This window comes from Homo sapiens, chromosome 20 (assembly GCF_000001405.40).
Source record: "Homo sapiens chromosome 20, GRCh38.p14 Primary Assembly".
NCBI lineage: Eukaryota > Metazoa > Chordata > Mammalia > Primates > Hominidae > Homo > Homo sapiens.
The window spans coordinates 38277713-38288947 of record NC_000020.11 but is presented as its reverse complement, the minus strand read 5'-3'; the positions used below and the strand labels follow the sequence as shown (position 1 = coordinate 38288947).

Below are 11235 nucleotides of genomic sequence, written 5' to 3'. Positions count from 1 at the left end.
TTTCATTTTTAAATTTTTATTCTTAATTTTATTTTTATTTTTGCATGATAGTTACATCATGTTAGGCAAGTCAACTTTGGAAAACAGTTTTCCATCTTCAGTAAAGGTGTAGAGGCTGTGCTGTAATTTGACCAGTATGTCTATGCACTCCCATTCCCAGGGATGCCCGGAAGAAGCCTTGCATCTGGATATCAGCCACAGACACGGAGATACTCAAAGAAGCATTGTGCACCTGGAGAGAAACCAGATCGCCATTAACAATCGAACATAGAAACATTGGCTGGGGGCGGTGGCTCACGCCTGTAATTCCAGCACTTTGGGAAGCCGAGGCCGGGCGGATCACTTGAAGTCAGGAGTTCAAGATCAGCCTGGCCAACATGGTGAAACCCTGTCTCTACTAAAAATACAAAAATTAGCTGGGTTTGGTGGCTCACACCTATAATCCCAGATAGTCAGGAGGCTGAGGCAGAAGAATCGCATGAACCCAGGAGGTGGAGGTTGCAGTGAGCTGAGATTGCGCCACTGCACTCCAGCCTGGGTGACAGAGCAAGACTCTGTCTCAAAAAAGAAAATAGAAGCGTTGTAACATGAAGATGATCATATGCTATACAGCAGCCCCCGCTTATCTGCGGTTCCACTTTCTGTGGTTTCAGTTACCCGTGGTCAACCTCGGTCCGAAAATAATTGAAAAGTTCCAGAAATAAACAATTAATGAGTTTTAAATTGTGTGCCGTTCTGAGAGCACGATGTTTAGTCTGCCTTGCCTTGCATTTGTCCTGGAAACTCCAATAAAGCCTCTGGCCCAGTGCTGTCTTTGCCCCTGCTTCTACCTCCTCACCCAAGGGTGTACACTCCACAGGGTGTGCAGGAAGCATGACGCAGGCATCTGCACGGCTTCCTGGTGCTGCCTCCGTGGCCCTCTGTGGCACTGTGTGATGCCTTGTCTTGGAATTGTAAGTAATCAATTCTTTCTTTCTATGTCATCAGTCACCCCCATAAATTAACATCCCTGCTTCAATCATTGAGGCTGGGGGGTTTGATCAGGAAGGAGCATGCAGAGTGTCGGGGGTAACAGCAGTATTCTATTTCTTAAATGGATTGGTGAGTTCAAGGGTATTTATTGTTATTCTTCAGACTGTACATATATGCCTTTGTCTCTATGGCATGTTCCACAATAAAAATGAAAAAAATCCATAATTACTATCATTTCCTACAAAAGTAACACATCATTGTACCAATGTTAATGTCTTAGTTTTGATAAATGTCCTATGGTGATGTAAGATGTTAACATGAGGGGAACCGGAGAAAAGGAATACTGGAATTTTTCATACTGTCTTTGCAACTCTTCTGTAAAGCTAAAATTATTTCAAGATAAAACGCTGCTACAAAGCAATGCAGAAGCTGAAGCATGCAGAGCCTTGGAGGTCACTTTAAAGTGTTTGGGTTTTGTTCTCTGAGCAGTCGGGGGTCCCTGGAGGGTTTTCAAAAGGTGGGCAGGACCCAATGGGTGTGATAACATAAAATGCAACTTCTGAAGAATTTCAAATATTGTCATAGTTGTGGAGGCGGAACTTCCCTGTGGCCAGATGGAGATTGCTTTGACCACAGGCCTGTGCACCCCCGGGGTGAGGCCATGGCCCCTGCTAGGCGGGGACACGTGGAGGGGAGCCAGAGAGAACAGAGCATCCATTGATCAGCAGGACAGCTGTGGGGAGGGACAGATCCACGGGCCGTAGGAGGGACCCTGGGAGAGATGGGAAGGAAACGGAAGGATAGAAGCTGCCGGGGTGGGTCGGGGATTGGGAGGGAGGTCTGAGGGCTGAGAGAGGGCTTGGGAGCCCCCACTCCCTGCAAGCTTCCTGTGTCCCTCAGCCAAACCCTGAGCTTTCTCCCTCCTCAGGGCCCTTGCAGCCTGGCACCTCCTTACTCAGCAGATCTCCTACCCCACACCATGCACACACACCTGCCTCTCCTCCCTCCCTCTCTTCCTCTCCGCACCCAGAAGAGGCCCAACCCTCAACCTGCGGCCTTGCCCTCCTTTTCTGCATTTTTTTTTGTCTTTTCAGCTTACAAGATTTTTCATCATAAAATCAGATAAGACTCCCTCTAGATCCCAGGTTTCCCTCCAGCCACCACTCTGGACTCCCTGCTCAGCCAAAGCTCCTCAAAGCTGCACGTGTCTCCTGGTGACTCTCCACCCTCCATCCACTTCTTCTGCTCCCACCCACTTTCTACCCACAGGCCAACCCTGCCTTTGCCCATTGTGGACCTCCCCCGGGGCTGCTTTCTCCCTCTCCAGCTCCCTGGGCTCCTGAGGCCCTATAGACCCCTTTGCTTATCATCTCCCTCACTCGACGTAAGGCCAATGTTACGAGTTAAATTATGTCCCTCCTCTGAAAATTCCTATGTTGAATTCCCAACCCCCACAATATCACAGAATGTGACCTTATTTGAATAAATAGTCTTTACAAAGGAACCCACATTAAAATGAGGTCATTAGGGTAGGCCCTAATCCAATAGCCTGGTGTCCTTATAAAAAGGGGAAATGTGGGCACTCGTACATATGGCAAAGATGCCACGTGAACATGAAGACGGCCGCCCGCAAGTTAAGAAGCCAGCCTGCAACAGAGCCTCCCCTCACAGCCCTCAACATAACCGACCCCGTTGACACCTTGATTTCAAACTTCTAGCCCCCAGAATGGTGAGACAATACATTTCTCTTGCTTATGTGACTCCATCTGTAGCATTTTGTTATGGCAGCCCTAGGAAAAGAACCCAGCCCATGAGGGTGGCGAAGCTCTGTTCCCTTCACCATTTCCAGTGCCAAGAACAAAGCTTGATGCACAGTAGCAGCTTCGCAAATATCTGTGGGTTGGATATATGAAAAAACGTATTTCCAAACTCAGTGGACACTCCTTTTGATTATCCGATAATTATTTTTAAAACATATATTTATTAGAGGAATAGAAAAATGTGAGATTCAAAAAGTTAGTGAACAGTACATCCTTCCAGAGATGTTCTAGGACAGTATAAGCACAAGATTTTGTATTAGTCCATTCTTGCACTGCTATAAAGGAATACTTGAGACTGCATAATTTATAAAGAAGAGATATTTGGCTCACGATTCCACAGGGTGGACAGGAAGCAGGATGCTGGCATCTGCTTGGCTCCTGGGGAGGCCTCAGGAAACTTACAATCATGGTGGAAGGCGAAGGGGAAGCCAGCACTTCACATGGCTGGAGCAGGAGGAAGAGAAAGAGCAGGGAGGTGCCACACACTTAACCAGATCTTGTGAGAACTCACTCATTATACAGTACCAAGGGGGGATGGTGATAATCATTCATGGAAACTCTGCCCCCATGATCCGATCACCTCCCACCAGGCCCCACCTCCAACCCTGGGGATTACAATTCTACATGAGATTTGGTGGGAACAGAGATCCAAACCATATCAGCTATCGTGTGTTATGTAGTTGGGGGGCCTTTAAAAAGCTTCCACAAATCTTTGTGAATGAAACATACTGCTGAGAACTTCATGTTTACACTTTCTTTGTCTTGGGGATGCCAGCCTCAGATGGTCCCCAGGAATCCCTGCCTTCATGAATATCCCCTCCCACACTGGATAGGGCTGACCGTGCTAGGACATTGTGGAAATAGTGTGTGACTTCTGAGGTTAGGTCATGAGACACGGTGGCCCATGGTGCTCCCTCTGGGATCACTCGATCTGGGGGAGACCATGCTGTGAGGACACTCAGGCAGCCCTGTGGAGAGGTCTACAGGATGAGGAACTGAGGCCTCCTGGCAACACCAGCACCAGCTCATCAGCCATGTGAGTGAGCCATCTTGGAAGTGGATCCGTCAGCCCCTGTTGAGCCTTCAGATGACTGCAGCCCTGGCCAGCAGCATTGTGACTGCAACCTCATGAGAGGCTCTGAGCCAGAGCCACCCAGCTAAGCCATTCCGGAATTCCTGGACCACAGAAACTGTTCATTGCCACTTTAAGCCCCTAGGCTGTGGAGTCATTTGGTACCTAGCAGTAGGGAACAAATACAACCTTTCTTTTAATTTAATTTTATTTTTTGAGACAGGGTCTTGTTCTGTCACCCAGGCTGGAGTGCAGTGCTGTGATCTCCATGCACTGCAGCCTCGACTTCCCAGGCTCAGGTGATCTTCCCACCTCAGACTCCCCAGTAGCTGGGACTACAGGCATGCACCACCATGCTTGGCTAATTTTTGTATTTTTTGTAGAGATGGGGTTTCACCATGTTGCCCAGGCTGGTCTTGAACTCCTGGGCTCAAGTGATCTGCCTACCTTGGCCTCCCAAAGTACTGGGATTACAGGCATAAGCCACTGCACCTGGCCTCTTTTAATTTTTATTTTTAGAGATGGGGGGATCTTGTTTCATCACCCAGTCTGGAATGCAGTGGTGCAATCTTGGCTCACTGCAGCCTCCACTTCCCAGGCCCAGGTGATCATCCCATCTCAGCCTCCTGAGTAGCTGGGGCTACAGGCATGTGCCACCACGCCTAGCAAATTTTTGTATGTTTTGTAGAGACGGGGTTTCGTCATGTTGCCCAGACTGGTCTTGAACGCCTGGGCTCAAATGATTTGCCTGCCTTGGCCTCCCAGAGTGTTGGGATTACAGGTATGAGCCACCGTGCCTGGCATTTTTAAATTTTTACTTTTAGAGATAGGGTCACATTCTGTCACTCAGGCTAGAGTGCAGTGGTGCGATCATAGCTTACTGTAACCTCAAACCCCTGGGCTCAAGCGATCCTCCCACCTCAGCCTCCTGAGTAGCTGGGACTACAGACACATGCCAACCTTGCAGATAGATCCACATCAGTCTGTTGAGAGCAGTGTCATTCTGTTTACTGCCTGCCAACATTCCAGGGACATATTTTCGTCCTTGATTTAGTAGGTCTGGGGACAACTTTAACATTGCCTGTCTCTTTCCCACTGAAGCATCCTTTGGCACTCCCCTCATTCTCCTTGGGGCCTAGACAACTCCTTGGTTCCCTTCCTTGTGAGCTTCTATTCCATCTTTTAACCCTGGGGGTTTCCTGGGTTCTGGGGTTCTGTCCTGGGCCCCCTTATCTCCCAGTTCAATAGTCATGAGCCAAGGCAAATGACAAGTGGGTCAGGCAGTACTCCCAACCCCCCATCATGATGACAACTCCTCAACCTCCTCTCCAGCTCAGATCTCTCTGGAGCCCCAGATCATCATCCCTGAGAAGGGATGTCCCATAGGAGCCTCAGGCTCAGGCGTTCAAAACTAAATGTGTCTTTTCCCCAGCCTTGCTCATCCCTGCTTGCCTCTGTCTAAGAGGTGGGCCTGCCTTCCTCCCATGACCTGCCATCACCCTGACCAACCCAGCAACAGCAACCAGCCTAGCCCTATGGGTTTGCCCCTTTGCTAGTTAGTTCAGCACCCCATTTCTCCTCCTCAGCCCCCCATGCCCTCCGTCCACCATCCAGGCCACCATCACTTCCAGCCCGGTCCATGTAACAGATGCCTCACTGGCCCTCCTGCTGCCACCTGGTCCATTCTCCACATGGAAGTCAGAGGAACTTGAAAATCTAACCTGGGGCATGCCCCCACCTCTCTGTTTAAACCTTTTGCTGGCATGGGGCCAAGGGAGAGCCCCCTAAAGGTTCTCTGAAAAATCACCTTGCAAAAGGCACATTAACTGGAGAAAAGGTACACAAATGTATTTAATGTGTATTCACGGGAGTCTTTAGAATGAAGACCCAAAGATACAGAGGAAATTGTTCATTTTTATGCTTAGGTTCCATGAAGTATAAACAGCCATGTAGAAATACGACTGGACAAAAAGGTCTGATCGAATGCTGATAGAATGAGTGGGAACCCAGCATGACCCGCCTATCTAGATTATTCTTGGCCTCTCTGAGCAGTGCTCCTTCCTTCTGGGGATGGGGCAGGACCTTTTCTGGAATGGGGGGTCTTATGACCTACAGTCAAAGGAAAGATCATTTCTTTATGGCCAGTTTTTATACAGAAAGTTGGAGGGAAAATTAGAGTAGTATTTTTAGGTTTTATGACTAGCTTTGGGGAGAAGAGGTTCTGGTTTCTATAGCACATGCTAGTTTCTATGGCTAGCCTTCAGGAATAGGACTGAGAGCTAGGAGGGCAGGAGGGGGTCAGAGAAGAAACTCACTTCTGAGGCCTTCATTTTGGGGTATTGTTTTCTAAGTCTGATATGGTTTGGCCGTGTCCCCCCCAAAATCTCATCTTGAATTATAATCCTCATAATCCCCAAGTGTCAAAGGGGGGACCAGGTGGAGGGTTCCCCCATGCTGTTCTCATGACAGTGAGTGAGTCTCACGAGATCTGATGGTTTTATAAGGGGCTCTTCCCCCTTTGCTTGGCACTCACTCCATCTTGCCACCCTGTGAAGAAAGTGCCTGCTTCTCTTTTGCCCTCCACCATGACTGTAAGTTTCCTGAGGCCTACCCAGCAATGTGGAACTGTGAGCCAATTTAAATCTCATTCCTTTATAAATTACCCAGTCTTGGATATTTCTTCACAGCAGTGTGAGAACAGACTAATACGGTAAATTGGTACCAAGAGTGGGGCACTGCTATAAAGATACTAAAAAATGTGGAATTGACTTTTGAACTGGGTAACAGGCAGAGGTTGGAACAGTTTGGAGGGCTTAGAAGAAGACAGGAAGATATGGGAAAGTTTGGAACTATCTAGAGACTTGTTGAGTGGCTTTGACCAAAATGCTGATAGTGATATGGACAATGAAGTCCAGGCTGAGGTGGTCTCAGATGGAGATGAGGAACTTTTTGGGAAATGGAGTAAAGGTCACTCTTGCTATGCTTTAGCAAAGAGACTGGTGGCATTTTGCCCCTGCCCTAGAGACCTGTGGAACTTTGAACTTCAAAGAGATGATTTAGAGTATCTGACAGAAGAAATTTCTAAGTGGCAAAGCATTCAAAAGAATGCAGAGCATAAAAGTTTGGAAAATTTGCAGACTGAGGATGCAATAGAAAAAGAAAAATCCATTTTCTGGGGAGAAATTTAAGCCTACGGCAGAAATTTGCATAAGTAACCTGGAGCCAAATGTTAATCACCAAGACAATGGGGAAAATGTCTCCAGGGCATGTCAGAGACCTTCATGGCAGCCACTCTCATCACAGGTCCCAAGGCCTAGGGGGGAAAACGGTTTTGTGGGCTGGGCCCAGGCCCCCGCTGCTCTGTGAAGCCTTGAGGCATGGTGCGTCCCTGCTTCCCAGCTGCTTCAGTTCCAGTCGTGGCTAAAATGGGCCAAGTTACCACTCACGCCATTGCTTCAGAGGCTGAAAGCCCCAAGCTTTGGTGGCTTCCATGTAGTGTTGAGCCTGTGGGTACACAGAAGTCAAGAATTGAGGTTTGGGAGCCTCTGCCTAGATTTCAGAGGAAGTATGGAAATGCCTGGATGTCCAGGCAGAAGTCTGCTGCAGGGTTGGAACCCTCATGGAGAGCCTCTGCTAGGGCAGTGTGGAAGGGAAATGTGGGGTTGGAGCCCCTACATAGAGTTCCCACTAGGGCACCACCTAGTGGAGCTGTGAGAAGAGGGCCACTGTCCTCCAGATCCTAGAATGGTAGATCCACTGACAGCTTGCACCATGCACATGGAAAAGCCACAGGCACTCAATGACAGTCAACTAAAGCAGCTGAGAAGGGGGCTGTACCTTCTGAAGCCACAGGGGCAGAGCTGCCCAAGGCTTTGGAAGCCCACCCCTTGCATCAGTATGACCTAGATGTGAGACATGGAGTCAAAGGAGATCATTTTGGTTTACTTAAAGTTTACATAGTAAACTTTAAGGTTTAATGACTACCCTATTGGATTTCAGACTTGTATGGGGCCTGTAGCCCCTCTTTTTGGCCGATTTCTCCCATTTGGAATGGGTGTATTTGCCCAATGCCTGGACCCCCATTGTATCTAGGAAGTAACTAACTTGGTTTTGATTTTACAGGCTCATAGGCAGAAGGGCCTTGCCTTGTCTCAGATGAGACTTTGGACTTGGACTTTTGGGTTAATGCTGGAATGAATTAAGACTTTGGGGGACTGTTGGGAAGACACGATTGTGCTTTGAAATGTGAGGATATAAAATTTGGAAGGGGCCAGGGGTAGAATGATATGGTTTGGCTGTGTCCCTACCCAAAATTTCATCTTGAATTATAATCCCCATAATACCCATATTTCAAGAGCAGGACCAGGTGGAGGTAATTGGATCATGCAGGCAGTTTCCCCCATGCTGTTCTTGTGATAGTGAGTGTGTGCCTGATGGTTTTATAAGGGGGCTCTTCCCGCTTCGCTTGGCACTCACTTCATCCTGTCACCCTGTAAAGAAGGTGCCTGCTTCTCCTTTGCCTTCCACCATGATTGTAAATTTCCTGAGTCCTCTCCAGCAATGTAAAACTATGAGTTAATAAACCTCTTTCTTGTATAAATTACCAGTCTCAGGTATTTCTACTTCTTCTTCTTCTTCTTTTTTTTTTTTTTGAGATGGAGTCTTGCTCTATCACCAGGCTGGAGTGCAGTGGCACGATCTCAGCTCACTGTAACCTCCTTCCAGGTTCAAGCGATTCTTCTGCCTCAGCCTCTCAAGTAGCTGGGATTACAGGCCTGTGACATGATGCCTGGCTAATTTTTGTATTTTTAGTAGAGATGGGGTTTTGCCACGTTGGCCAGGCTTGTCTTGAACTTCTGACCTCAAGTGATCTGCCTGCCTTGGCCTCCCGAAGTGCTAGGATTACAGACATGAGTCACTGCACCCAGCTGGGGATTTTTTTATAGCAGTGTGAGAATGGACTAACACAAAGCCCCAACACTGGCTTCTTATACTTTACTAGAAGAAGAGGAAAGTGACTTCTTAGCATGTCATGTAAGGTCCTTTTTTGAACTGGCTCCTGCCAACCTTCTCCAGCCTCACCTTGCTCAGGCCTCAGGACCTTTGTGCTCACTGCTCCCTCCTCCTTGAACATGCTTTACCCAAATGCTTCGCCACTCACTACCTTGCCTCCTTCAGGTCTCCGCTAAGGATGTGTTCATCAAGACGCCTTTTCTGGCTACCTGTCATGAAATAGGAGCCCCTTACTCTGCATTATTTCCCCCCTCAGCACTTACCTCCTCATGAATATTATGCCTTGGTTTGCTTATTGGTTTGGTTTTTTTCTTGTCTTTCCCCTAGAATGGAAGAGCCATGAGGGCAGGGGCTTTGTGTACATTTGCTCATGGTGCCTAAACCCAGTGCCTGAATAGGGCCCTGCATATAGTAAGCACTCAGCAGGTGCAATAAACTTCTTGCCTCTTCCTGCCACACAAATCTGGGCTCCTGCAACACTGAACTGCTTTTTGCTGCCCACCCACACCGCTCTTACCTCCAAACCTCTGCTCATGCTGATCCTCCTGCCTGGAGGGTCCTTCCTCCTTTGTTTTTCAAATTTTCATTTAATTAAAAAAATTATTTGTACACATATTTTCCAGAGATGGAGTCTCACTCTGTTGCCCAGGCTGAAGTGCAGTGGCACAATCATAGCTCACTGAAGCCTCAACCACCTAGACTCAAGCCATCCTCCCACCTCAGCCTTCCAAGTAGCTAGGTGCACACCACCATGCCCAGCTAATTTTGTATTTTCTGTAGAGATGACGTCTTGCTTCTCTGGTCTCAAACAAACAAGTTCAACCAACTCCTTCCTCAGGCTGGTTTCAAACTTCTGGCCTCCCAAACAACCTTCAGCCTCAGCCTCCCAAAGTACTGAGATTATAGGCATGAGCCACAGTGCCTGGCCATTTGCATAGATATATTCTATGGCTCCTTTAGGATTCTGCTTGTGTTATCAGCTCCCCTAGGCATCCCTCCCTGACCACTTCCCCTCTGCCTGGTCAAGTACCCTTCCTGGGCTCCTGTGGTATCTCAGACATCTCAATTGCAGTACTTGTCACTGCACTTTTGAAGGATGTTTGTTGTATACATGCTTGCTTATTGTGAGCATCTTGTGAGCCAACTCCCGCCCTGCTAAACCCTTGGCAAAGGGCCGGAAGTAGTCAATGCTGAGTGAATGTTTTTATGAATGAATGAATGAATGAATGAATGAATGAATGGAGTTAGCTTAGGTTTAGCCATAGGTCTTATTCAGTGACCCTGAGCAATCTCTGTCCCTCTCTGGGCCCCAGTTTTTCTCAATCTGTATAGTCAAGCTGGGTCTAACTAACCATCTGTGTTTATTAACACTGCAATTCTGCTCCTAGCCCCTGGGGTTCTAATCCTATTGGGGGAGGCAGATGTCTGCCTGGATTGCACCCCCATGGATCATTCTGATGTTTCAACAGCTAGATCCATGAAGACCCATTCCCACTCCGCAGACCCGAGACTCTGCTTTATAAGAAACCAGGTGAAAGCAGCACGTGTAGGCTCCTGGAGGACAGTCTTGGAGGACTCCCTGGGATGGGGGAACACAGGCAGGAAAAAAAGTGACCGCCTCCAGCTTACCCCCTCCCCTATCAGGGCTGCGGACTGAAACGGGGAAGAAAAACAAGCACAGCTGCACAGGACAATTTAGCCCTTTCACCATGACTTAAGCTCCCAGCCGCCTGTTGCGTGAGGCCGCAACATGACCCCGGCCCCCTCCGTGGCGCCACCGCCATAGCATCTGCCCAGTTTTGTTCATACCGTAAGGAAGAGGCCTGGGGTGTCCTTGGGTAGCCCCAGAGCTCTGAAGTGGGGCCATAGAGGGAAAGGGGCCGTCCCTGTGGGAAAAGAGGGAGAGGAAGCTAGAATGTCGGGGAGGGAGACATCTCAGTGCTGAGAATCCAGGGATGGGAGGAAGCTGAGCTAAGCTGTGGCTATTTGGGGTGTGTGTGGTTTGGGGAGCCCCTCTACTATTTTTTTTTTTTTTTGCAGCTGGACCACTGTAAGGGGATGTGGGCAAATTGTACAAGCCCTCAGGGTCCCCCTTACCTTCTCTGTGAAATAGGTGTGGTAACTCTGTTGATGCTGTGAAGAGGCCAGTCAGGTATTTGCCCCTCCCAGCATGCTGTGTGGCCCTGGAGAAGACAGTTACTCTCTCCCTGAGGACATCTTTGCAAGGCAGGTGGGGGCAGAATAGAGATGTCTAAGGCAGCCTGTATCTGAAGCGCCCCATCCTTACACAGCATATCAAGAGTATGTAGCATTAACACAATTTATTACTGTTGATATTGGCCTTGATCACCTGGCCGA

General features: G+C 48.4%; 1 long non-coding RNA gene across 1 annotated transcript in view, besides 2 other annotated features; it reads right to left on the bottom strand.

Moving 5' to 3' along the window:
• Nucleotides 1–11235, bottom strand: part of LOC149684 (uncharacterized) — a 28773-nt gene continuing 17538 nt past the window's right edge. Inside the window, exon 2 of the long non-coding RNA NR_104170.1 lies at nucleotides 1–232. This is a non-coding gene — a long non-coding RNA (uncharacterized LOC149684). The remainder of the gene's footprint in view (nucleotides 233–11235) is intronic.
• Nucleotides 1828–2329: an enhancer, noted in NCBI's record as "H3K4me1 hESC enhancer chr20:36915021-36915522 (GRCh37/hg19 assembly coordinates)". NCBI's record gives its function as "activates a minimal SCP1, AML or CMV promoter by ChIP-STARR-seq in naive H9 embryonic stem cells {active_cell/tissue: H9 hESC(naive)}" and the evidence as "EXISTENCE:reporter gene assay evidence [ECO:0000049][PMID:30033119]".
• Nucleotides 8681–8790: a silencer, noted in NCBI's record as "silent region_12898". NCBI's record gives its function as "represses an Ori minimal core promoter by ATAC-STARR-seq in GM12878 lymphoblastoid cells {active_cell/tissue: GM12878}" and the evidence as "EXISTENCE:reporter gene assay evidence [ECO:0000049][PMID:35858748]".